At 47.2% G+C, this 26,412-nt stretch overlaps 1 protein-coding gene and 1 non-coding gene across 13 annotated transcripts in view, besides 8 other annotated features; both read right to left on the bottom strand.

Moving 5' to 3' along the window:
• Positions 1-13,302, bottom strand: part of MGAT5 (alpha-1,6-mannosylglycoprotein 6-beta-N-acetylglucosaminyltransferase) — a 334,687-nt gene extending 321,385 nt beyond the window's left edge. For all 12 annotated transcript variants that reach the window (XM_006712534.4, XM_047444397.1, XM_047444400.1 and 9 more), the window contains exon 1: positions 12,946-13,302. The gene's annotated coding sequence lies outside the window, so the exon portion shown is untranslated. The remainder of the gene's footprint in view (positions 1-12,945) is intronic.
• Positions 6,045-6,112, bottom strand: MIR3679 (microRNA 3679). The gene has a single exon (NR_037450.1). It is a non-coding gene; the product is annotated as a microRNA 3679 (primary transcript).
• Positions 11,872-12,021: a silencer, noted in NCBI's record as "silent region_11975". NCBI's record gives its function as "represses an Ori minimal core promoter by ATAC-STARR-seq in GM12878 lymphoblastoid cells {active_cell/tissue: GM12878}" and the evidence as "EXISTENCE:reporter gene assay evidence [ECO:0000049][PMID:35858748]".
• Positions 12,272-12,481: a silencer, noted in NCBI's record as "silent region_11974". NCBI's record gives its function as "represses an Ori minimal core promoter by ATAC-STARR-seq in GM12878 lymphoblastoid cells {active_cell/tissue: GM12878}" and the evidence as "EXISTENCE:reporter gene assay evidence [ECO:0000049][PMID:35858748]".
• Positions 12,712-12,781: a silencer, noted in NCBI's record as "silent region_11973". NCBI's record gives its function as "represses an Ori minimal core promoter by ATAC-STARR-seq in GM12878 lymphoblastoid cells {active_cell/tissue: GM12878}" and the evidence as "EXISTENCE:reporter gene assay evidence [ECO:0000049][PMID:35858748]".
• Positions 12,832-12,991: a silencer, noted in NCBI's record as "silent region_11972". NCBI's record gives its function as "represses an Ori minimal core promoter by ATAC-STARR-seq in GM12878 lymphoblastoid cells {active_cell/tissue: GM12878}" and the evidence as "EXISTENCE:reporter gene assay evidence [ECO:0000049][PMID:35858748]".
• Positions 13,012-13,111: a silencer, noted in NCBI's record as "silent region_11971". NCBI's record gives its function as "represses an Ori minimal core promoter by ATAC-STARR-seq in GM12878 lymphoblastoid cells {active_cell/tissue: GM12878}" and the evidence as "EXISTENCE:reporter gene assay evidence [ECO:0000049][PMID:35858748]".
• Positions 22,946-23,605: an enhancer, noted in NCBI's record as "H3K27ac-H3K4me1 hESC enhancer chr2:134867203-134867862 (GRCh37/hg19 assembly coordinates)". NCBI's record gives its function as "activates a minimal SCP1, AML or CMV promoter by ChIP-STARR-seq in naive H9 embryonic stem cells {active_cell/tissue: H9 hESC(naive)}" and the evidence as "EXISTENCE:reporter gene assay evidence [ECO:0000049][PMID:30033119]".
• Positions 23,606-24,267: an enhancer, noted in NCBI's record as "H3K27ac-H3K4me1 hESC enhancer chr2:134866541-134867202 (GRCh37/hg19 assembly coordinates)". NCBI's record gives its function as "activates a minimal SCP1, AML or CMV promoter by ChIP-STARR-seq in naive H9 embryonic stem cells {active_cell/tissue: H9 hESC(naive)}" and the evidence as "EXISTENCE:reporter gene assay evidence [ECO:0000049][PMID:30033119]".
• Positions 25,324-25,857: an enhancer, noted in NCBI's record as "OCT4-NANOG hESC enhancer chr2:134864951-134865484 (GRCh37/hg19 assembly coordinates)". NCBI's record gives its function as "activates a minimal SCP1, AML or CMV promoter by ChIP-STARR-seq in naive H9 embryonic stem cells {active_cell/tissue: H9 hESC(naive)}" and the evidence as "EXISTENCE:reporter gene assay evidence [ECO:0000049][PMID:30033119]".

Genomic DNA, 26,412 nt, shown 5'->3' with positions numbered 1-26,412 from the left:
TGATTTAATGTCTCTAAATTTTATTCTGCTCAGATATAATACCACCCTAATTCAGAAATGTGGCAATAAGGCCCAGCTGCCAGAAAGGTGGTGTAAGAGAAGCTAGGATCACTGTTTCTTTGCCTTTCCCACTAATGGACTCCATTATATCACCAAAAAAGGCACTGCCGGGATCTAATGAATAAATAACTAGCACTTGAATGGAATTTGTGCCCATTTTAATTCCAGTTAGTTTCCACTAGAAAGCCTTATTTAAAAATAAATTAAGAAGGGGGGGCATAACACTACTTATAATGAAACAATTTAGAAATGCTTGAAAAGTTTCCTATATAAGCCAATCGGGTGTAATGTTAGATGGCAAGGACCTAATTGTTGATTCCAAGTAAACAGAGAAGGGTGAGTTTTCACATCTGCCACATGTGTTCACTGTCATTTCTACAAGGGTATGAGGAGACCAAAGGGTCACTTGAACAGGGTCTTCCAAACAGAAGGTCACAACTAACTGATGGGTTATGAAATCCATTCAGTGCAAAGGTCAGAAAACTTTTTCTTCTCGGGCCAGAGAGTAAATACTTGAGACTTTGTAGGCCAGGTCATCTCTTATCAGTCACAACCACTGGCCTCTGCCATTGTAGTGTGAAAGTAGCCATAAACAACAGAAGAACAAATGGGATTGGGTATGTGCCAATAAAACTTTATTTACAAAATAGGCAGCCAGTCACGTGCCGCCTGACCTCTGACCAAAATTTTTTAAGACAATGAAATAGGACAAAATAGAAAACACCAGAGGCCACGATAAAGGTTAAGTACTTTTTATGAAACTTTTCTTACTGTTACCTACTTCCATATGTGAGCTCTGATTCAGCATGTATTTCTTACTCCAGGGTGGGGTCAAAAGCCACCATATTACAAGATAAACAGTTTCAGAAAGGAAAACTAGTCTGTTTCTGAGTGTAATTGGTAAAAATATAAAGGATTTTAATGGTTTTCTAAAAAGGGAAAAAGGGGCAGATACAATGGCCAAGTTCTTGAACTTAAGTACAATCTTAAAAGAATATTAGTTACAAGTAACTAACAAAAAGATTTTTAAAAGGACACTAAAATTACTTTCTACACTATTCAAACATCTGATACGAGCTGTGCATCAGTTAACCACTGCTCTATAGCAAACTTACCCCAAACTCAGTGGCTTACAACAACCATGGATGATTTACACATCTCTACAGGTCAGCCAGTGGGTGATTCAGGTAACCCTGGCCGACCTAGACCTGCTCAGGAGACAGCACACAGCTGACAGGTCAGATGGCATTGGCTGGTCTATGATGAAATCGGCAAGCACAAACCTGGCCCCCTCCACTGGGCTAGCCTGGGCACGATCTCATGGAGGTGGCGGGGTCTGAAGGTGCAAGCCCAGTCCTGTAAAAGGATATCAGAAACAGCCTCTTTTTACAACTCTGTTTATACACAGCATGTGCTAACATCCCACTGGCCAAAGCAAGTCACATAGCCAAAAGGGGGCGGGGGACCAGGGTGGGGGAAGAAGGAAGGAGGAAGAGAACCTGCAAAGTTATAGGGCAAAGAGTGTGGATAGTGGATACAGGGAGTTCAGGGAGGCCATTAACAGAGGCCAATAGTAAAAAAAAAAAAAAAAAAAAAAAAAAAAATCAATCTACCACAGGCAAATATTTATCGTGTATCATCATCACCCTGGCAGAAGCAGAGAGGTTTTACATTATTTTAACGTTTTCCATTACCATTTCTCACTGTGTTTTTGCCTTATCGCTTGTAAGGCAGAAAAGCAGAGTGAAAAGAATACTAATTTCGGGAATTCAGCCTTTTGTACCCTGGCTCTGCCAGTTCTGGCTGTGTGACCCTGGGCAAGTTTCCTTTGCACCTCGGTTTCCCCACTGTAATAGTAGTGTGGCCCGAATTGGTGGGTTCTTGGTCTCATTGACTTCAAGAATGAAGCCGCGGACCCTCGCGGTGAGTGTGACGGTTCTTAAAGGCAGCGTGACCGGAGTTTGTTCCTTCTGATGTTCGGACATGTTCGGAGTCTCTTCCTTCTGGTGGGTTTGTGAGCTCGCTGGCCTCAGGAGTGAAGCTGCAGACCTTCCCAGTGAGTGTTACAGCACATAAAGGCAGTGTGGACCCAAAGAGTGACCAGCAGCAAAATTTATTGCAAAGAGCAAAAGAACAAAGCTTCCACACTATGGAAGGGGACCCCAGGGGGTTGCCAGTGCCAGCTCAGGCAGCCTGCTTTTATTCCCTTATCTGGCCCCACCCACATCCTGCTGATTGGCCCATTTTACAGAGGGCTGATTGGTCCATTTTGACAGAGTGCTGATTGGTGCATTTACAATCCTTTAGCTAGACACAAAAGTTCTCCAAGTCCCCACTAGATTAGCTAGACACAGAGCACTGCTTGGTGCGTTTACAAACCTTGAGTTAGACACAGAGTGCTGATTGGTGCATTTTTACAATCCTTTAGCTAGACACAAAAGTTCTCCAAGTCCCCACTAGATTAGCTAGACACAGGGCATTGATTGGTGCATTTACAAACCTTTAGCTAGACACAGAGTGCTGATTGGTGCATTTACAACCCTCTAGCTAGACATAAAAGTTCTCCAAGTCCCCACCAGATCAGCTAGATACAAAGTGCTGATTGGTGCATCCACAAACCCCGGAGCCAGACACAGAGTGCTGATTGGTGCATACACAATCCTCCAGCTAGACATAAAAGTTCTCCAAGTCCTCACTTGACTCAGAAGCCCAGCTAGCTTCGCCTAGTGGATCTGTGCCAGGGCCGCAGGCAGAGCTGCCCACCAATCCCACGCCCCGCGCCTGCATTCCTCAGCCCTTGGGCAGTCAATGGGACCCGGCGCAGCAGAGCAAGGGGTGGTGCCCGTAGGGGAGGCTGGGGCTACTGGGGAGGCTCAGGCCACTCGGGAGCCCACCGCCAGGGTGTGGGGCGGTGTGGGGCGGTGTGGGGCGGTGTGGGGCGGTGTGGGGCGGTGTGGGGCGGTGTGGGGCGGGGCGGGCTCCAGCATGGCGGGCTGCAGATCCCCAGCCCTGCCCCGCGGGAAGATGGCTGAGGCCAGGCGAGAATTCCAGCCTGGTGCGGACGGGCCGGCAGTGCTGGGGGACCCGGCGCTCCTCCGCAGCTGCTGGCACGGGTGCTAAGCCCCTCACTGCCCCAGCCGGCCGCTCCGAGTGCGGGGCCCGCGGAGCCCACGCCCACCTGGAACTTGCGCTGGCCTGTGAGTGCTGCAGCCCTGGTTCCCGCCTGCGCCTCTCCCTCCACACCTCCCCGCAAGCAGAGGGAGCCGGCTGCGGTCTCAGCCAGCCCAGAGAGGGGCTCCCACAGTGCAGCGGCGGGCTGAAGGGCTGCTCAACGGTGGCCAGAGTGGACGCTGAGGCCGAGGAGGTGCTGAGAGCGAGCGAGGGCTGCTAGCACATTGTCACCTCTCAGTAGGATGGCTCACAATTACATAAGCCAGAACAAGTAAAAAAAGTACTCAGCTCAGCCAGAACAAGTAAAAAAAGTAAAAAAAAAAAAAAAGTACTCAGCTCAACATCTGGCCTTAGCAGACCTCAAACCTTATTTAAATACCAATATTTTGGCAAATAGTTGATTTGAATATGTTCAAAGGGGAGAAGAACAGATCCTATAACAGTAAACCTTCTTTGCAAAGAAAAATAGTTCCTTTACATAAAGAGCAAAGAACCAGTTCCTTATTTGGAGTTTTGAGGACTGTGGTAGGCAGAAAAGGGGCCCCCAAAGATGTTCATCATATACTAATCCCCGGAACCTGTGCTTATGTTGCCTTACAGGGAGATGGCATTATATCAAGTACCTGTAGATGGGAGATTACGCTGCATTAACCTGCTTGGTCTAATCTAATCACATCAATCCTGAAAAGCAGAGAACTTTTCCCAGCTTGGTGAGAGTATCAGTGTGATGGCAGAGAGACAAGGACTCAGCTGGACATTGCTGGCATTGAAACTGGAGAAGGGGGCATGAGCCTAGGAACACGGGCAGCCTCTAGAAGCTAGAAAAGGCAAGGAGACCGATTCTCCCTTCAAGCCTCCAGAAAGGAATAGACACCTTGATCTCGGCCAGTGAGACCCATAAGGGACCTCTGACCTACAGAATTCAAAGAGAATAAATGTGTGTGGCTTTAGCTGCTAAGTTTGTGGCTGTTACAGCAGCAATAGAAGTAATCTTGTAGTATTTCTATTAGAGACTGACAGTGAGGAAATAGAACAGTCACACTTGAAACCACTGAACTAGGAGGAAGAAACTCGGAAACTTAAAGAGTATTAACCAGACATGGCATCAAAAAATGGAAAGCTGTCCAGACACGGTGGCTCACAACTGTGAGCACTAAGAGAGACTAAGGCATTTTGAGAGACTAAGGCAGTAGGATCGCTTGAGGCCAGGACTTCGAGACCAGCTTGAGCAACATAGTAAGACTCGTGTCTCTCCAAAAACTAAAATTTTTTTTAAAAATTTAGCCAGGCGTGGTGACACATGCCTGTAGCCCTAGCTACTCAAGAAGCTGAGGCAAGAGAATCACTTCAGCCCAGGAGTTGGAGGTTACAGTGAGCTATGATTGCACCACTGCACTCTAGCCTGGGTGACAGAGAAAGACCCTGTCTCTAAAAAAAAAAGAACTAATAAAACTTGAAAGTTGTATTTGATTCTGCTTACAGAAATAGAGAAAAGGCACTATCATAGAATAAGCAACTCATTATCATGAAAAACACTTTACAGGAAGAACAATAAAATCTTAATACACAGTATTACCAAGGATCCCCTACCTATACTACTTAACAAGCTGGTACTAGGGGAAAGGCCATAGTAACAAAATCCTTTCACAGAAACTTTCTGCAGACTTCCTTTAACTGATGGCTACTCCAAACCTGCAGCTCTCTGATCACTCCCTCTTTCTTCTTTCTCTCTCTCTCTTTCTTTTCTTTTTCTTTTCTTTCATTCTCTCCTTCTCTTTCTCTCTTTTTTTTTTTTCTTTGTAGAGGCAGGAGTCTTGCTTTGTTGCTCAGGCTGGTCTCAAACTCCTGGGCTCAAGCAATCCTTCCATCTCAGCCTCTGAGAGTGCTGGGATTACAGGCATGAGCCACTGCACCCAGCCTCCACTTTTTCTTAAGATAACATTGACAATAAGGTAATAAGCCCTAGTGGTGTGTGGACACACACACTCACATTCAGAGTCCCAATTTGTTGACCTGCATGAGACCATAAACTGTGCTAAGAGGAAAAAAAAAATGTCCACAGACTGATTTTAAAAGATGAACTCTGAAAGAGCATAATGACCAAACGGAACCTCAAAATCAGGAACACACCTAGGAATCTTTTTAAGGATAGACTAAAGAAACTAAAGTAGCTGAGTGTGCAGAACCCAGCCACGCAGGCACACTAGTAGAACCCTCCAAGTGTGGGAGGGGCTAAGTGATGCACCACTTTTCAGATGAGAAATCAGAATCACTAACCACAGAATCGGCCCACATGAAGACAGCCAGCTAAGTGCAGAAGCCTCACCTGCCACGGTCGGAGTTCACTCACGATGCCATGCTGCCTGGACAGCTCATCTCGTGACTCCAGCACGCCAGGCCTGGAGCTTCCAGCCTGTACCCATGAGAGCTCCATGACACTCCTTTCTTTATTGGACCTACATGTTTCTTTTTTTGTTTTGGGGGGGTTGGAACAAGCCTGGGGGGGGGGGAAACCTTTTCCTTGAAGGAGCTCACTGGACATAAGAATTGCAAAGGAGGAATGGTGAACCTCTAAAAGTTGATCGTATTTACCCAGGAGAATTACATTTGTGTGTAATGTACAGTGAAGACTGCCCAATAACAATGTCATCTTTAAACCCACCAAGCATAATAGCTAAAAATCAAATAAAGGAAGAATGTTAACATTCTTAGTCACAGAGACTAGAACTTTTTTACAGAGGGAAGGCAATCAAGATGAACAGAGGGGCTTGAAGCTGTGTTTGCAAAGGTCTTACACAGGACTGGGGACACCGCATGATGAAGATTACTGGGGGGAAGGGAATAGAGGGAAACTCCCCTTCCCTGCCATATCCTCACCACGTGGGGCCTCTAACTAGGTGCTCTAAAAAATTACAGGAAAGGGGACGAAGGAAGTATACCAAACAAATACTAAGAAAGGTGCCAAAGGAAAACAGAGAAATCACACAGAGCATGAGGCAGAGATGGTACTTTCTCTTTGCATCCAAGAAAGAATCGGTCATTCAGAAAACTCCTCACCGGCATGGATGCTTGTAAATAACAAACTGGAGGTGAAAATAAGATGGTTTAAAAAAAAAAAAAGCAGCTGCAAGAAGACTGATACCAAACTTCCTTATGTTGAAAGGTAGTAGTTACACACTGAATGTGTAGACAGAATTTGGCCCTGCTTGTGGCAGTGTGTAAACACCTAGCCACGTCCCCAGGGCACTGTGCGAGGAACCACAGAAGGCTATGAGCCTGGTCATCTTCTCTACTCTTTGAATCTCAATTTCCCAAGGGAAAAAATAGCTTCACTAAAGGAAAGCAGGTTATTTCAGGGCTGAAAGTAAGGACCAAGGTTTTTTATTTCTAAACATACAAAGATAAACATCCCCAAAGAGAGTAACAATAAAGGGCTGATTCTTCTTAGTTAAGCTTTTCGGCTGCCTGCTAAAGAGAGTCTACTGGCCAGGGCAAAAACAACCTGAATGTGTTCTCAACCTTCTTTTTAATTTAATAAGGGAATTTCATTTAATTTATGTTACAAGCCTTTTGCCACATGTATAGAATTAAGCAACATTAGGAACTGAACGGATCTTTGGAGCGCATTCAATCCCCTCTTACTTCTCAACCTAACAGCTGAGGCCCAAAGTGGTCACATGGGCTGAATTAGTATGTTCATCTACATTTCCCTTTATCACTGAACTTAACTCTTCTGGGTGTGCATTGACCAGGCTTAGACTTTAAACTCCTTGGGTAGCCAGTGACTATTTATTTGGCAGAAGCATTCCGAATCAGGAACAGGTGAGGGCAGGAAAGGAAACGGGTGCTCACTGCTATGTCCAATGGGAAGATTCCACAAAGTATGGCGATCTTGGGTTCAGAAAAGCATTTTGTGTGGCCTCTGCTCTCTTTCTAGGACTCCGCAGACACTGCGGGAATGTCTTCACAGGCACCGATTATCAGAAATGTTAAGGAATGGTCCTGATACCTCTTCCAGGTCACTCCTCACCTACCCCATGCTCCTAAAGAAAGGAAATCAATGCTGAGAGGAGCCAGGAGCCCTAAAACACAGAGAATTAATAAGAGTGAAATGTAAAATCCAGCCCAGACTGGATTCTTATCATGTCAAACTTAAAAGGTGACATGAGAAAGGGAACCCCTCATTCCAAAGGATATACGTCACTTAGATTCTCCCAGCTGGGGATGGTAGGAGGGAACTGGGCCACACCAACCTGCTCCCTACCACATTCCAAGGTGAAGCTGGGTGTGAGCACACAGTGGGCTCCAGTGAGGAACAGATGCCCAGTGGCCATCAATTCTCTTCCTGTATCATTGCTATAAACAAAGCAGGCAGGCACCCGTTATCAACTGTTACCAATTGTTCCTGTGGGACCACAGAGGAGATGTGAGGTCCAGCTTTGCCACTGCTGCCTGCTGGTGAGACTTTGAGAAAGTCCCTCCACCTCTCTGCACCTCGGTGACCTCAGCTAGAAAGAGGAGGGCCCTCCCTGCAGTGCCCCTGGGTATCTATGAAGCCCTCTCGGCTTAGGTTGGAAAGAAGGTGCTGGCTAGTACAGGGCATACTCACCAGCCTTAACCACTACTCACAGCCCAACCCACACTGGCTCTGGATCTAGACCACCTGGCTTCAAATCCTTGCTCTGCCACTGAGTAGCTGTTTGTAACCTTAGCTAGATTTCCTGACCTCATGATGTTATGGTCTCTCCATGTATAAACTTGGAATAACAACAGAATCTACCTCATTGTTGAGTGAAATACCTGTAGTACAAAAGAAGCATTTGCAATAATGCCAATCGGAGAAGGTGGATTTTTTTCATCGCCATCATTCCTATTTTCTTGTCTACCCTTTCTTGATGTTTCTCCACCAAGACATATAATAAAATCTCTACGATGATCACCAACATAACACACTCCCATGAGGGGACCCAGACATGGAAAAGACCCAAAACTAATAGAGTGGAAGACTTTTCTGTGTAGGATATTTATAATAATAATTTTTAAAAAACATTTTACCAGCATGACAGGACTTATAAGAAGTCTGTGCACCGAACTACAACTTTAAAGCGTGAAGTTCAAACAGGAGTGGGTGGGTGGCACATGTTCCCTCAAGGGCCAGCCACAAAAATCACAAAGGGATGCAAATAAGTGAGGCTGTTATTATTCTAGGGATAACCTTGAAGTGCTGACATTTTAAAAAGTAAACCTATTGCAAGCACCAGTAGTTAACTCTTACTAGTAACAGAAGTACTTGGGTGTAACTCACTCCTGAGTTCACTTTGTCAGGAAATAGAGTGGAGAAATATTCCTTAGCCATTGCAGGGAGCCACCTGAGCAAGGGTCAAGGTCCAGCAGGCATTAATGCCAGCCTGGCAGTGAAGGTGACAAAGAGAGAGTGCTAGTTTACAAGACAAACTGCTCCCACCAAACCAAGCCACAGTAGCTTATAACCCTTGCCTGTCCTGATTTTTAAGACTGGGCAGAGTCCCGAGAGGAAAGCCCTGTTCCCATTCCAGAAGATTGTATGTTTAGACAAGAGAACTGTGGGATTTTGAACAAATAAAGTGATTCCTCCAACCCCTCCCATGCACACACATAGCCCTGCAGATATGACAAAGTCAGGGAAGGATGCACTTAATTGTGGCAATGAAAAAAATAAATACAACAGTCCAAATGGGCAAACACACAGCTCGAGTCCAAACTCCTCTAGCTGAGAACGTGGTTACAGTGCTAAGGCTCCTGGGACCCACCTTGGCAGCTTTCCAAGAGCTATTAGTTTGTATTAACACACAGTAAGAGAAGGTCTGCTAAATTAAAAGTGAGATAATTTAGGAGGACATCTTTATACCCAGCACCAGCCCAGTGCACAGCACATGGCAGATGCTGGAAAAATGCTCATCAGCAGCCAGCATCAGTCACAAATGTGGATGTTGACATAGGATGTAAAACAGTATAGGGATATGGCTTAGATTAGAGACTTTAAGGGTTGGAGAGATCATTACTTAATTTCAAAGAGAAATTTGAAAGTGTAGCCATCTTCTGGCTACTAAGAGTGATTCCATACTTCAAAGCAATTATTAACTTTAAAGGCAGCCTGGTAAAACCTGCACTGACAAGTCCCAAATGCTTATTTATTTCTCACCCTATCACCCAATTGTCACCCAGATAGCAATCCCCCCGTATAAAATTATTTCCTCCCTTTTCTCAAGTATCATCTGAATTACAGTAATCAAAACTACCCATCAACCTGTTCACCTGACACCAGGAGCCTTCCCCAAACTTTGAAACTCACCATACGAAACCCCCAGAGACAAAGCTAACAGCACACACTTTCCTGAGGCCTGTTATAACAGCATCAACACAGAATGCCACCCCCAACCACTCCTCCTCCATGCCTCCTAGGGCCAGGAGCCCATGACACACAAGGAGGAAGGAAGACAGTGAGTCCCTACTGCGCTTAAAGCCTCTTGAGAAAGAGCAGAGCAGTCACCTGTCTGTATGACCCTGGGAAGGAGAGGACATAAACTTTCCAACCCAGATCTTACAGATGACTGCTCTGCAGTTTTCTACACATCTCTGCAGGGTACACTAGTCACTGCCCATCCCCTGCCAAAATTAATCCAGGGATGTCTCTGTAGTGACTTAGATCCTGAGACACATGGAACATTAGGGAAAAGTTGTGTCAAATGTCAGAGTGACAACTAGAATGGTTCCTGGGAACTCATACTTCCAAAGGCCTCCCCGTCAGCTAGGGTAACAGGGGAGTCTAGCATTTCAATGCTTTTGGAGGACAGCTGGGCAGAAGGTAAGTTGCTTATTTTAAAACAAAAAAAATTGAATGGGAGGAGAGATTATGTGAATTCCTGTGATCTCTTGAGGTCCCTTCCAGCTTCCAGATTCTACCAAAGAACATGGCATATGCATGTACATATGCACACACCTCTTTATAAGAATGTATACAGATGTGGGAATATATATAAATGAGTACTATATTCACACTTCCAAACACAAAGCACTTGAAATGCACACTGCTGAGGAGATCCAAAAGCCCATGAGCTGCTCTGCAGCAGCAGTTGGAGCATACGGTTGCCACCGGCAGATCTGGGCAGAGCCCTCCACCCCTCCTGCCATTGCAGTTCACCTTAAAACCAACTGGTGGCTGCTTGTGCAGGTGCAAACCCTGCAAAGCTCCAAACCAGGACTGCAGATTCCTTTCTCCTAATGACTCCAGTCACGAGTGTCCCAGAGTGAAGAAGGCAGGCTGAAACAAAGGAGGAGATGAAAGAAAAAGCCCAAACCCTATATCCAGTTGGAGCCACCCCAGCAGAGGCAAATGCCAGACAGAGCAACTTCCTTCTCCTCTTCTCCCAGCCCCTACAAAGGGTGAAACAGTCACCCTCTTGCCCCTCCTCCATCACCTTGCTTTTCAGGGCCTCTCCAGGTAAGGCTGACAACATGGGCATTTAAATGAGCATTTAAAAGCAGGGTGATGGAGGAGGGCAAGAGAAAAAAACTAAACTGGAAAAAACTAAAAAGCTCTCTAGAAAGGAGAGCTTTGCGCTAGGCCGGGCACGGTGGGTCACGCCTGTAATCCCAGCACTTTGGGAGGCCGAGGCAGCTGGATCACCGGAGGTCAGGAGTTCGCGACCAGCCTGGCCAATATGGTGAAACCTCGTCTCTACTAAAAATTAAAAATTAGCCGGGTGTGGTGACGGGCGCCTGTAATCCCAGCTACTTGAGAGGTTGAGGCAGGAGAATCTCTTGAACCCGGAAAGCTGAGGCTGCAGTGAGCCGAGATCGCACCATTGCACTCCAGCCTGGGCAACAAGAGCAAAACTCCATCTTTAAAAAAAAAAAGACAGGAGAGCTTTGCTCTAATCTTTACTGCCAGATAAATCTGAGGATGCCCATCTCAGCCCTGAACAATAGCAACAAAAATAATTTATAGGAAAGCAGTGAGGACGGGGGGAGGAGGGTGAAAATTCATTCACCACAAATCTCAGATGCTTTGCCCTTCATGAAAAACTGTTCAGTGATTTTCTCGGTACAGACAAGGGAGTTCTGATGCAGCCGTAAGGCTTAGGATGTGCATGACACAGAGATTAACGCTGGGGAGTCTCTTGGAGTAAAAACCAAGTTGATCAGGTCCTGACAATAAACTGGGGGTGGGGGTCAGTTCAACGACCCAGCTTCCCACTCGCATCTCCTTAGAATGAGATACCTCTAACACTTTGGTCTGGGTATGTTTACAAGTGCGATGTTGCCATCCACCCGAACCCCACACACAACTGAGTTTGCCCCTTCCCAACGTCACAGACCCAGAAGTACTCATCTTCCCTAACTGGGCCGCCAGAGCCAGGTGCAGATAGCGGCGGCCGCCCGGGGCCAGGCCTGGCAGTCGGTCCCAGGAGGGCCGGGCCCTATACCAAATCCATCCACATCGCCCGGTTCCCGCAGCCCTGAGGAGCCAAGCACCCCCTCTGCGCTCCAAACGCCTCTGGACAATGCAAGCGCCACCCCCTTCCCTCTTCGGCTCTTCCGCGCGGCGGCTACAAAACCGCGGCTTTGTGTGTGACAGCAAGTGTATGCGCGAGCGTCCCTGGGCTCACACACCCCCTTGCACCCTGCCTGCTCGCCGCGCCAGGTCCGGGCACCAAGCGGGCGCACCGCGCGCGGGTCCACCAGGCTGAGAGCCGCGCTCCAGGCCTCTGGCCACCCCGCCACGGGGAGCAGGGGCTAACACCCACGCCCCCAATCCCGGCTGTGAGGGCAGCCGGGGAGAGCAGTGCGCGTAGCTCAACTGAGGCGAGGCAGGGGCCAGGGGCGCGAAAGAGCCACAGGCGAGAGCGGCGCCCACGTCTCCCTAGCCCCGCCGCCCCCAACTTTGCGAGCTGAGGGCCGGGAGTGGGCCGGGGCGGCTCACGACTCGGCAGGAAGTTCCCAGGGCCGCACTGAGCATGCTCTCGGGGAGTGTGTGCGCGGGTGTGGGCTCTGCGCTCCCTGCAGCCTCCCAGACCCGGCAGCAGGGCTGAGCGCGCCGGCGGGATCACGGACCCGCGGGCCGTCCCCTAACAGCCGGGGCGCCCCCGGGCCTCCTGGATCCTCTGGCCCGGAGCGCCAGCCCGCCGCATCCCTCCTCCCTAGGGGCTCGGGGCCAGCCTCCCTCCTTCTTCCTTCCTCCCCACTGGCCCCTGGCCGAGCCCGCCCAGTGCGCCTGGGTCCCGAGGACCCCGGCCCGGCCCGGCCCACGCCTGCGGCGTGACCCCCACCGGGCTCCTCCGCGGTCCGAGCGCCCATCTGCCATCCCCCGCCGCTCGCCTCCAGCCCGCGCAACCAGAGCTTCCTTTGGACTGTCCCTAGGAATGCCAACAAGCCCCCTCGTCACGGGGCGGGGGGGGTTCAGCCTCCCCTGGGAGGGGCTGCCCGGGGCAGGTGGGCTTCTCAAGGCGCGTCTCCCGGCTCCACTCCGGCGTCCTGCAGAGCGGCCGGGGCCGGGGCACCCACGCAGGCGGCAGAGGAGCGACGGAAGGAAGCCCCCGACCGCGCCGACCCCGGTGCGGGCTCTCCTCGCCCGCGCCTGGTTCCCCGTGCCCCCCGCGGTCCCCTCTGCGCGCATCACCCCGCGGGGATGACGAGCTCCCTCCGACGCGATCACCCGGATCCGGCAGCTCTTACCTCCTTGTTGGGCAGCAGCAGCAGCCGGGAGCACCCGCCGGCCGCCGTGCCCACGCGGCCCGAGGCGCGAGGTCGCGACGCCCCGAGCCTGCGGCGCGGCTACCTGGGCTGGATCGCGCCCGGGGCCGCCGCCGCGGGAGCCGCAGGGCCGCCGCCGAGCGGGCCGCGGCAGGGACGGTCTGCAAACTACCAGCCCTGGCGGGGCCGCGCGCGGCGCGTCCACACTCAGCCCCGAGACGCAGCAGAGGCGCTCCTGTGGGAGCTCAGTCGACCAGGGCGGGAGTCCGTCCTCAATTTCTGGCAACCTTCCCCTAGCCAACCTCACCAACTTCTCCCCGCTTCTGGGCTCGCGGCTCTAGAAGGCAGAAATTCCGGCCGGGGACGTTTGGCAAACTCCCCGCCCCCGGCCGCGCGCTCAGCCAATTCGGAACGCCCCAGCTTCTCAGGGGCCGTCGGCAAACTCTCAACCCTGTCTAGGAGGACTTCTCCCAGCCACTCTGTTCCGCAGCCCAAGGGGAGAGAAAGGAGCGAGCGGGACCTTCTGATCGCGGCCATAAATAATATCCTAACAAGGTCAGGGGCAGTGTGCAAATATTGATATGACGATGCATCCTCCGGAGTGGTGCAGTCCAAGCCCCAAAGGACAAGGGGCCTTCCAGCAGCGAAGCCCACTGATGGGGAGACTGTGGTCTCAACCATCTTAGAGGTGCAGGCAACTTTAACAAAACGCCCTGAGGCTCAGTTTCCTCTTTCGTAGAACGCATTACACAAAGCAGTAGGTATACTGCCATTTGGTTTTTGTGACCTTGGGCAAGCCACTTAACCATTTGAATTCATCTTTATGAGCATAACAAATGCTGCTTCATGAGGTTATTGTGAAGATGATATGAAATATATGTGAAATACTTAGGGATATGTGGCACTTATAAATGAAATCCATTCTTTCTTCTCTGCCCTGCTCCCACTCCCGGATTTTAGGAACACTCTGGACGAGCTAGCTGAAAACTGCACTGTTGTAAATTCACAAATAAAACACATCCCGTGCCCTGAAGGCACCACAAAGAACATTGACTGACATGAGAGATTAAATCCAACCAAGCCCCAGGAGAGAGAATGCCATACATTTACATCGATAAGCATTATAGTTTCTTGTTAAGTAGTATCTGGAATGGAGGAAGAGTGGGCTATTGAGCTAGTGGTAGAATCCACAAGACCATAACCCCAGCAATTTCCAGACCCCATAACCAGTCACTACATCCAGACCTCATAAGGATTCATGTTCAGTTTCCCCTCATCTGCCCTGCAGGACTTCACCCCTACTTCGTTGTCCTCTCTGGGGTCTTATTTCTTGGACTTAGCTCGCCCCCACCCTACTACGCACCCTCCCCACCAGAGGCATTTACAAACGAGGATCATGGAATTTTTAGACCCTAGGAATGATTCAGTCCCTTTCCTTCATTTTGTAAGTGAGCTCATAGCTGGTTGAGGTCTCCTGACCCCAGGACCTTTTAATAGGGCATATCCATAGCCTCTCCTGCACTGAGCAAGCTCTGGGCTTTGGGCACCTTATGTCAATCCTGTCTTCAAGTTTAGCTGGAGGAAATGGCTCTAGCACTTCCTGACCAGATAAGCCCCAAATTATCAGCCACTTGGCTCCTCAGCTGTTAGAAACTGTCGAGTCAAGATACTCAAAAACCACAGGGAAATCTGCAAGGCCAGGATGACTAAGAAAAGACCTTTTGGTGAAATCCCAGTAATGTTCTGAGGCACGTATTTCCCTCAGTCCCTTGAGAGAAAATAGTATCTTTAGCTCTCCCCAAGCACCAGGAGGGAAATAGAAGAATGGTGACATCTGGTGGCCGGGACTTGCTGTACTGGATACAGATCATGTAGATTCTAATCATAATAGATTGGATTTGAAGTCAAGTTCCCACGGGTGGTTAATAATGATACCACCTGGTTGCCTAGAGATTTCTGAAAGGCATCAATCATTTCAACTTTATGAACCCACTGCTATAGAGGATATTACAGATGGTTTTTGTTTCAGGATATTTTTTATAAAAAGTATATGTGTATATAGAGAAATTAAGTAAATTCGTTTGTATACACAAATATACATTTTCCATATTTGTATTACATAGTCTATTTATTTATATAAATCATATACTTGCCATGCGTTTAAGAAAAAGTAATACTATCTAAGTTGTTTTCCCCACAGTTAAGATTACAATTTTTATTATTAATTGCTAAAGGATACTGTTTATGGACATAAGGATGCTTATTAGGATGCAGCTGTATATTTCATCACATCCTCTCAAGAGACCGTTCATTACAAGCTTAGGAAGAAAATAACATAGCAGGATTTCAATAGTGAAAGCCCTGGCAGCTGATGGCCAAGGTCGTGCATTCCTGGTGAACAGAGATTCATTTTTAGCATTTTCACCACTTGCAAACAATGGGTGTCAGGTTAGAAAAAGAAAGATATTTAGGACTATTTCACAACAATGCAACAGTGTTTGTTGGTATTGCTAAGTCTACTCTAACTGTATTGCTTCATTTCTTTTCATTTGTCTGTCACATATATAGTACTTTAAATAATTGCTCAATTATAAGCATAGTAAACACAGCTTTTTACATATAATCAAGTATAGTCAGCCCTCCATATCTGCGGATTTCGATCTGTGATTGATTGAATCTGAGGATTTAGGATCCTCCAAATCCATGCTTACAGAGGGCCAACTATATATTGTTTCTCAGCATCTCTTACTAAGCTGTATGTGAATTACATTTTAACAATTCATGGAGTAGATTTTACTATACGTATTTCATAGAAAAAGAAGCCAAGACTTAGTAAAGGTAAGTAATATACTTACAGATAGGCACTGTTGATAAGGATCACAGCCAGGATTGAATCCAAAGTTTGCCTGACTCCAAAGCCCAGAACCTTTCTATTACACCATGCTTCTCACCCCAGATAACCAGGAAGAAAGGAAGATCCATGCAGAAAGTACTGTGAATAATACAGTAAATATTAAAGGGGATATTTAAGGTACCCTACATAGACCAGGTTTCTTGACCTATTCAAATTGCATGAAAATTATAGCAACAAAATAACAATTATGTATGTAAACCTTATAAAGCTGAGACCCATGTGGTTCAGTCTTGGAACTGGTGTCTGTGAAATAAACAAATGAAATTGTTTTTCTGCCCTGGACCTGAGCTCTAATGGCTTGAGGAATTATCCACTATGTAATCTTGGTACAAGGTAAAACCTCTGATGGTAAAGGTGCTGACCAAATTTTTAGGGCAGCATTGCTAGTGGTAGTGCCCAGTGGCTGATGCCATAATGTGGATGATGTAAGCTGTGATGCCTGGCAGATAGTGATCCAGGTGACAGCATCTTCACCTTGCCAGATTTTAGGAGTTCTTTCTACGTGCATTCCTCTGGCCTCCGTCTTCTTCTTCTTTCTTCTTTCCTCTTTTTTTGAGACAGATTCTCACTCTTTTGCCCAGGCTGGAGTGCAGTGGCATGATCACAGCTCACTGGCAGCCTCGACCTTCTAGGCTCAAGTGATCCTCCCACCTCAGCCTCCCAAGTAGCTGGGACTACAGGTGCAGGCCATCATACCCAGCTAACTTTTTAATTATTTTACAGAGATGGGGGTCTCTCTATTTTGCCTAGGCTGGTCTTGAACCCCTGGGCTCAAGTGATCTTCCTTAATTAGTCACAGTAACTTTCTGTTGCTTGTGGTTAAGTAGCCTGACTGATACAGACATTTGAATTAACAGGCGTAGACCCTAAGGGAAATAGATGAAATCAGGGATAGGTTATCTAGTCTGATTAAGGTTGAGGGTTGAAAACTTGGCTTCTTTAAAGGTCTTTGATGCAGGCAGCCTGTGGTATACAGTGGCAAAAGTTTGTTATCAACTGTATACATCTACAATGAAGTACCCATTGAAATCAAACTTTTGGGTAACCAAGTGACAACTGAGCAATAAGACTTAGGAATAGGCTGGGTGCGGTGACTCACACCTGTAATCCCAGCACTTTGGGAGGCCGAGGCGGGCGGATCACAAGGTCAGGAAATTGAGAACATCCTGGCTAACATGGTGAAACCCCATCTCTACTAAAAATACAAAACATTAGCCGGGCATGGTGGCAGGCGCCTGTAGTCCCAGCTATTTGGGAGGCTGAGACAGGAGAATGGCATGAACCTGGGAGGCGGAGCTTGCAGTGAGCCGAGATCAGGCCACTGCATTCCAGAACAAGACTCTGTCTCAAAAAAAAAAAAAACAAACAACAACAAAAAAACACTTAGGAAAAAGACTCTCACAATAAGACTGTGAGAGTAAGGTGGTTGTTTTTTATGGAGCTGAATAGCTTTTTTTTTTTTTTTGAGACAGTCTTGCTCTGTCACCCAGGTTGGAGTGCAGTGACGTGCTCTCGGCTCACTGCAACCTCTGCCTCCTGGGTTCAAGCAATTCTCCTGCCTCAGCCTCCTGAGTAGCTGGGACTACAGGTGCATGCCACCATGCCTGGCTAATTTTTTGTATTTTTAATAGAGACAGAGTTTCACCATGTTAGCCAGGATAGTCTCCATCTCCCGACCTCGTGATCCACCCGCCTTGGCCTCCCAAAGTGCTGGGATTACAGGCATGAGCCACTGCACCCAGCCTGAACAGCTTTAAAAAAGAGAATTATGAGCTGAAACTCTTACATTCTCAGCTCAAGGTACCTATAAACCAGGGCTTTTCTATGACTTCTGAAACAGACAAGCAGAAAACCTTTTGATTTTTAGCAGGTGGAGGCCAAAATAAGTGAAAAAAAAACTCAACTATTAATCGTTTGGATTGCTGAATTACAAAGTCACTTGCATTCATAGCCTAACCACTCTCTTATTTGAAACCAAAAGCATTGATTAGAACTCATTAGGACCCTGAGGATTGCATGGAGTTACATAGGACAATTTAGATGACTTAATTTGATGTACTCCACACCCCTCAGGCCTTATGTTGGCTTCCTTTGCCAAATAAAGGCAGTCATGAGGTTCTTGTTGCTTTGACTGAGATCCTCTAATGACCTGGCTTGAGGGTGTTGCCTTGAAACTTTATGCCCTGTGCCAAATACTCCTCATTTTCTCTCACTAGAAAGCCCAGCACACCTCAAAAGGCCAATTGGAAAGGCAAACTCTGAAGGAAAAGACTTACCCATCACAGGAGGTGTGAGATTCTGCTAATTTATAAAAGCAAAAATCTGGGGAATACATGTGGAGAGAAATTCTGAGAATGCTAGACCAAGGAAGGAAGAACATAGCCTTAGATGAGGCTGAATGTATTGATATGGAGGCATTAGCAAAGTTCTAGACTCAATGTGTTCACTTGGGCAGTTGGGAGTAGTATTAATCATCTGCTTTGTTGGCTGCTGAAATCTAGACTTATGAGGACTGGTGTAAACAATAATGCTAGTTGGCATACACGTAACCCCTACTAAGTGCCAAGCACTTTTCAAAGTGCTGTCATACATCAAATTATCTAATCATAATAATAAACCTATGAGACAGGTAGTATCATCCTCATTTATAAAAGGGAAAACTGAGGCATATATAGGTTAAACAACTTTCCACATGCAGCTTGTAAGTGGTACAGCTGGGATTCAAATCAGATACCTGGTTCCAGAGTCTGAGCTTTTTAGGTCTATGCTAAGTTATATTTATGAAAGTGAGATGCCAGGGATACCTTGCTATGTGGAGGGAGAATTCAAGAATTTAAGAAAATGCTCTAATAGATGTATCAAGTGTTACCTACTTATCTACCTCAATGCTATGTTCTCTAAAATGCCCCAGAAGAAACATATTCACCTCAGCGCTGAGGAATCCACTGGTGAGGGGAATGCCAGCATTTTTGGAGAGCTCTGTAGTGGCTTTTCTCTGGAGGACAGACCTCTTAACAAAAAATGTGGCCCTTGCTCAGTTTCCAAATGCGTTGGCCTCAAGCCCTTCCAGTAAAAGAGAGAGTGGGTATACTTGTGACAGACACCATTGGACGGTCAACCTAAAGCCACTGCAAGTCCAATTTCCTTTGCTACATCCTACTTTGGAGTCTGCAAAACCAGATATTTGCTTCCTCAGGCTCTACTCTAGTAGTGCAAGGGGATGAGGCAGCATGCGACCCAGTTCTGGCCAAAGGAAAGTCCACCAAGGGATTCTGGGAAAGATATTTTGTTTCCTTTAAAAACAAATGCAGGAGATGCTAAGTGCTTACCCTGGACACCCCTGGACTTGCTGCCTTTGAATGAGGTCATGAAGTCTGGAACTGTAACAGCTATCTTTCAAACTCAAGGTATAAGCCTAAACTGAAAGGCCACTTGGATAATGCAGTACGGAAAGATGAAAGGAGCCTGGGTCTTTGAAGAACCATTCCGCTACAACTCTGTAGCTCCAGGCTTGTTGTTAAATGAGGGAAACAAATTCCCACTTGTTATGGTATTATTATTCCACTTTTCTAACACCTATAGCCTAAACACATTTCTAAATGATCAAGTAACCTTTGAGGAAGGACCCCAGATAATACCACTGATATATACTATGTATCTTCCTTCCAACAATCAGAAGAAATTTCCAAACAGTTTGTATTCTCACCCTGTATTTCTTGCAAACTTGGAGGAGAATCCAAATACATGTACATAACTTACAGCAATACATTTTTTAAGTCCCCTTTCCCTTTCTATATAAGCTGCACTGATCACATGGTACAGTTGCTCCAGAGCATCTAGTTCCATAGATCTCCAGCTCTTCCCTTTCTCCTCTCTCCTTCCCCACTGTTTCTATGTTTATGATGTGGACTCCCCAGCCTCTCTCCAGCAAGACTGAGGAGGGGGGAGGGGGCACTTGTAACTACAAAATCCCCTTCAGTGACTTCCAATACTCTCATATTAATAGTTGTTATTCCATCACACATAACCTTTCAACTAACTGTTGTTACTGTTGCTTATAATAAACGTTTCTGCATTTCCAATCCAATTACTCACTGACTTTTATTTTTAACTTAAAGATGCTTTCTTTTGGAAGACAGATTGGTCCAGTACAAGGTCAACTCACATTTGAGAATGTCAAATGTTCACAAACTGCCTATTTTAAAAATAATGATAATGCTTAAGATAATTTTTATATGTAAAAACAGGGGAGCAAGGTTTATTTCTACAGAAGATTGTATTAATGACCCTGTATTAGTTCTCAATTGCTGCTGTAGCAAATTACTTCAAACATAACAACTAAAAATAAGACAAATTCATTATTTCACAATTCTGGAAGTCAGAAGTCTAGAATGAGTCTAAAGGAATAAAAATTGTCAGCAGACCTAAGTCTTTTCTGGAGACCATAAGGGAGAATCTATTCCTTGCTTCTTCTAATTTCTAGAGCTGTGGTACTCACTGGATCCAGGCAGCATCTCTCCAATCTCTGCCTTTTTTTTTTTTTGAGATGGAGTTTTGCTCTGTCGCCCAGGCTAGAGTGCAGTGGTGCAATCTCAGCTCACTGCAACCTCTGCCTGCCAGGTTCAAGCAATTCTGCCTCAGCCTTCTGAGTAGCTGGGATTACAGGCACCCACCATCATGCCCGGCTAATTTCTGTATTTTTGTAGAGATGGGGTTTTACCATGTTGGCCAGGCTGGTCTTGAACTCCTGACCTTAGGTGATCTGCCACCTCCACCTCCCAAAGTGCTGGGATTACAGGCATGAGCCACTGTGCCCGGCCAAATCTCTGCTTTTGTCATCACATTTTGGCTCTCTTCCTGCATTTTTTTTTTTTTTTTTTTTGTCAGAGTCTCACAGAGTCCAGCCCAGGCTGGAATGCAATGGAGCAGTCTCGGCTCACTGCAATCTCTCTGCCTCCTGGGTACAAGCAATTTTCCTGTCTCAGCCTCCTGAGTAGCTGGGATTACAGGTGCGTGCTGCCACACTTGGCTAACTTTTTGTAATTTTAGTAGAGATGGGGTTTCACTATGTTGGCCAGGCTGGTCTCAAACTCCTGACTTCGTGATCCACCTGCCTCAGCCTCCCAAAGTGCTGGGATTACAGGCATGAGCCACTGCACCTGGCCCTTCTTGCCCTCTTATAAGGATTCTTGTGATATATTTAGGGTCTGCCTAGATAATCCAGGATAATCTCCCCATTTTAAGACCCTTGGCAACCATGTGCAAAGTCCTTTTTTGCCATATAAAGTAATGTTCACAAGATCCAGGGATTATGTTGGGAACATCTTTGGGGGATCATTATTTAGCTTACCACCATCTGCCCTCTGAATCCCAAAGATTCACATCCATTCCATGTCAAGCTACATTCGCCCCTTCTCAATATCCCCAAAAGTCTCAACCTATCATAACATCAATTCAAAGTTCAAATTCTCTTTGAATATTACTATTTCAAAAACCCCAAATTTATTCATCTAAATTATCTAAATAAAAAATGGGTAAGACTCTGAGTACGATCCATCTTGGGGAAAAATTCCTCTCTGTCAGTGGACCCATAAAACTAGAAAATAAGTTATCTACTCCTAAAATACACTAGTGAGACAGGCACAGGATAACACTTACAGACATTCGTATTCAAGAAGGCGAAAATGGAAGGAAGAAAGGAGTCTCCAGTCCCAAGCAATTTTGAAATCCAACTGTGAAAACTCCATTTCAAAAACTGAGATTAATCCTCTGTGGCTCTTGGCTCAACACTTTTTTTTTTTTTTTTTTTTTTTTTTTGAGACGGAGTCTCGCTCTGTCACCCAGGCTGGAGTGCAGTGGCGGGATCTCGGCTCACTGCAAGCTCCGCCTCCCGGGTTCACGCCATTCTCCTGCCTCAGCCTCCCAAGTAGCTGGGACTACAGGCGCCCGCCACTACGCCCGGCTAATTTTTTGTATTTTTAGTAGAGACGGGGTTTCACCGTTTTAGCCGGGATGGTCTCGATCTCCTGACCTCGTGATCCGCCCGCCTCGGCCTCCCAAAGTGCTGGGATTACAGGCGTGAGCCACCGCGCCCGGCCTGGCTCAACACTTTGAGCCTGAAGCTCTAGCCTCTGAATCATACTTCCTTTTTCATGAAGAGTGCACATGTTTTCATCCAAGTACGTTTTTTTCTTGTTTGTTTGTTTTTGTTTTTGAGATGGAGTCTCGCTTTGTCATGCAGGCTGGAGTGCAGTGGCATGATCTCAGTGCACTGAACCTCCACCTCCTGGGTTCAAGCGATTCTCCTGCCTCAGCCTCCTGAGTAGCTGGGACTACAGGCATGCACCACCATGCCCAGCTAATTTTTGTATTTTTAGTAGAGGCAGGGTTTTACCATGTTATCCAGGCTGGTCTTGAACTCCTGACCTCAAGCAATCCACCCACCACGGCCTCCCACAATGCTGGGATTACGGGCATGAGCCATCGTGCCTGGCCCATCTAAGTAGTTTTATCAGCCTGTTTCCTGTCTGTATAATTTTGGGAGTCCAACAACCTTTTAAAATTTTTGTCTTCTTTTTGTCCCTTTCTGGCTAAGCTGGCAGTGTTGCTGCTAGTATAACATCATCAAGAATCTTGTGGGTCTCCTATGTATGTCACAGGGATTCACTCCATTAGATAAGAGGCTCTTCCACAGATCTTTCCTAGATAGTCCCATGAGATGGCTGAAAGAATCCATGAGTCATGTACTTAATCTCTTCAAAGAGCTCTCTGTGTGACAGAATACTGTGACATTTTGTTTCTTCTCAGACACTAGCAAAATGTTGTCCAGGCCAGGTGTGGTGGCTTACGCCTATAATTCTAGCACTTTGAGAAGCTGAGGCAGGAAGATCACTTGAGATCAGGAGCTCAAGATCAGCCTGGGCAACATAGTGAGACATCATCTCTACAAAAAAAATTTTTAAAGTAACTGGGCATGGTGGCATGTGCCTGTAGTCCCAGCTACTTGGGTGGCTGAGGCAGGAGTATCGCTTGAGCCCAGGTGTTTGAGAATGCAGTGAGCCATGATTGCACCATGGCAATCCAGCCTGGGCCACAGAGTAAGATACTGTCTCAAGAAAAAAAAAAAAAAAAAAAGCCATACTTGTGGCTTTCTCTCTAGAACACACTTTCCTGACAGTAAATCTCCTAATTTTATCCTTTTTTGTAATCTGGACAGGCTGAGAATTTACAAAATCATTAAATCCTGGTTCCTTTAGCTCAGCAGTCCTTTCCTCAATTTATCTCCTTCTTCTGACATTTGCTGTAAGTTATAAAAGAATAAGCCAGGTTGTACCTTCAATACTTTGCTTGGCGCTATCCTCAGCTAAATACCCAAGTACGTGGTTGACAAGTTCCTCATTCCACATAAATATATAACATGGTTCTGCTAACCCTTCCTGCCACTACTGAGAGGTGACAGCGTGCTGGCAGCCCTCACAGCCCTCGCTCGCTCTCGGCGCCTCCTCTGCCTGGGCTCCCACTTTGGCAGCACTTGAGGAGCACTTCAGCCCGCCGCTGCACTGTGGGAGCCCCTTCGTGGGCTGGCCGAGGCCTAAGCCGGCTCCCTCAGCTTGCGGGGAGGTGTGGAGGGAGAGGCGCTAGCGGGAACCAGGGCTGCCCGTGGAGCTTGCGGGCCAGCTAGAGTTCTGGGTGGGCGTGGGCTTGGCGGCCCGCACTCCCGAGCTGCCGGCAGGCCGGCCCTGCTGGCCCTGGGCAATGAGGGGCTTAGCACCTGGGCCAGAGGCTGCAGAGGGTGTGCTGGGTACCCCAGCAGTGCCGGCCCACCAGCGCTGCACTCGATTTCTCGCCCGGCCTTAGCTGCCTCCCTGGGGGGCAGGGCTCGGGACCTGCAGTCCACCATGCCTGAGCCTCCCCCTCCTCTGTGGACTCCTGTGTGGCCCCAGCCTCCCCGACGAGCGCAGCCCCCTGCTCCACGGCACCCAGTCCCATCCACCACCCAAGGGCTAAGGAGTGCGGGTGCACAGCGCAGGACTGGCAGGCAGCTCCACCTGCCGCCCCGCTGCAGGATCCACTGGGTGAAGCCAGCTGGGTTTCTGACTCTGGTGGGGACTTGGAGAACCTTTATGTCTAACTAAGGGATTGTAAATACACCAATCAGCACTCTGTATCTAGCTCAAGGTTTGTAAACACACCATTCAGCACCCTGTGTCTAGCTCAGGGTTTGTGAATGCACCAATCGACACTCTGTATCTAGCTACTCTGGTGGGGACTTGGAGAACCTTTGTGTCCACACTCTGTATCTAGCTAATCTAGTGGGGACGTGGAGAACTTTTGGGTCTAGCTCAGGGATTGTAAATGCACCAATCAGCGCCCTGTCAAAACAGACCACTCGGCTCTCTGTAAAATGGACCAATCAGCAGGATGTGGGTGGGGCCAGATAGGACAATAAAAGCAGGGTGCCTGAGCCAGCAGTGGCAACCCGCTCAGGTCTTCTTCCACACTGTGAGAGCTTTGTTTTTTTGCACTTTTCAATAAATCTTGCTGCTGCTCAGACTTTGGGTCCACGCTACCTTTATGAGCTGTAACATTCACCACGAAGGTCTGCAGCTTCACTCCCGAAGCCAGCGAGACCACGAACCCACCGGGAGGAACGAACAACTCCAGACGTGCTGCCTGAAGAGCTGTAACACTCACTGCGAAGGTTTGCAGCTTCACTCGTGAGCCAGCGAGACCACCAACCCACCAGAAGGAAGAAACTCTGAACGCATCCGAACATCAGAAGGAACAAACTCCGGACATGCTGCCTTTAAGAACTGTAACGCTCACCGCGAGGGTCCACGGCTTCATTCTTGAAGTCAGTGAGACCAAGAACCCACCAATTCCGGACACACTGTGTTACAGGATCCCCTTTCCTCTAGTTTCCAATAATGTTCCTCATTTCCTCCGGAGTCCTCACCGGCAGAGTCTTTAACATCCATTTTTCTACCAACAGTCTGTTCAGTGCAAACTAGGCCTTTCTACCCAATTCCAGTTCCACTTCCACATGTGCAGGCATTTGTTGCAACAGCACCCCACTTCCTGATACCACAATCTGTACTAGTTTTCTATTGCTACGGTAACAAAATTACCACAAACCTAGTGGATACTATTTGGTTTACATTTAAGGCAACAAAAAACTTATTCTCTTATATTTCTGGATATCAGAAGCCTGAAATCAAGGTGTTGGCAGGGCTGCATTCATTCTTGAAGCTTCAGAGAAGATTCTGCTTCCTTGCCTTTTCCATCTTCTGCAGGCTGTTCTCATTCCTTGGCTCATGACCTCACATCATGTTGCCTTTTCTTCCTGCTTCTGTCACCCCACGTACTACTTCTAACTCTGATCTCCTGTCTCCCTCTTAGAAGGACCCTTGGGATTACACTGGGCCCATCCAGAAAATCCAGGATAATCTCCCCATCCTTAATTTAATCTCTTTTGCAAACCTAAAGTAAATTCACAGGTTCCAGAGATTAGGATGTAGAGATTTTTGGAGTGCATTATTCAGCCTTCCACAAGCCCCAATTCTTCCCTTCTCCTTGGAACAATTACCTTTGCCGTGTAATTTTGCACTGCCCTCTCACTGTGGTAGGAGATAGGGAGTGACTTGCTTTGGCTAATAGAAAGACACAAAAGTGATGCCCTCCAGGGATCTTTACAATTTCCTCCTGCTCTCTTGAACGTTTCCATTGTTATAAGCAGCATGGTTTCTTCAGTCTAGCCCTGTGGTCCCAAGAGATGGATTTGGGGTATCTGAAACAAAGCTGCCCAAACCAAACCCAGCTCAGAGTGGGGCCCCCAACTGCTCCACAGACAAGAGTAGGCAGATGGTCCCTGCAGCTAATCCTCAATTGTGTGAGAAATAAATGCTTATTGTTGAATGCCATTGACTTTTAGGGCGGTTTGTTATGTAGCAATATGATTCTTTTATTTCCAAAATAATTTTAAGGCTTAAGGGAAAACTACTAATGATCATTCAATTGTTTAGAATACCTGGAGTCATGTGAATTTACACACACACACACACCCTTCACCTTTCATTTTATAGTGTATCGGACTTAATTTTTACTGTTTTATAAAAACTGCTTCCAAAGAAAATATCATCTGGCTGAAGCACAATGTTTCTGACAGAGGAATCAAAGAAGGCAGAGATTAAAATAGAGGAGGCTGGGCGCGGTGGCTCACGCCTGTAATCCCAGCACTTTGGGAGGCCGAGGTGGGTGAATCATGAGGTCAGGAGTTAGAGACCAGCCTGACCAACAGGGTGAAACCCCATCTCTACTAAAAATACAAAATTTAGCCGGGCCTAGTGGCGTGCTCCTGTAATCCCAGCTAGTCAGGAGGCTGAGACAGGAGAATCGCTTGAACCCGGGAGGCGAATGTTGGACCAGCCGAGATCACGCCATTGCGCTCCAGCCTGGGCAACAGAGTGAGACTCTGTCTCAAAAAATAAAGTAAAATAAGATCAATAAATAAATAAAATAGAGGAACCACCTTTCTT

The sequence above is a fragment of the Homo sapiens genome, chromosome 2, assembly GCF_000001405.40.
Source record: "Homo sapiens chromosome 2, GRCh38.p14 Primary Assembly".
Taxonomy (NCBI): Eukaryota; Metazoa; Chordata; class Mammalia; order Primates; family Hominidae; genus Homo; species Homo sapiens.
Note: the sequence above shows the minus strand (reverse complement) of the source record. Positions and strands in the feature narration are given on the sequence as shown.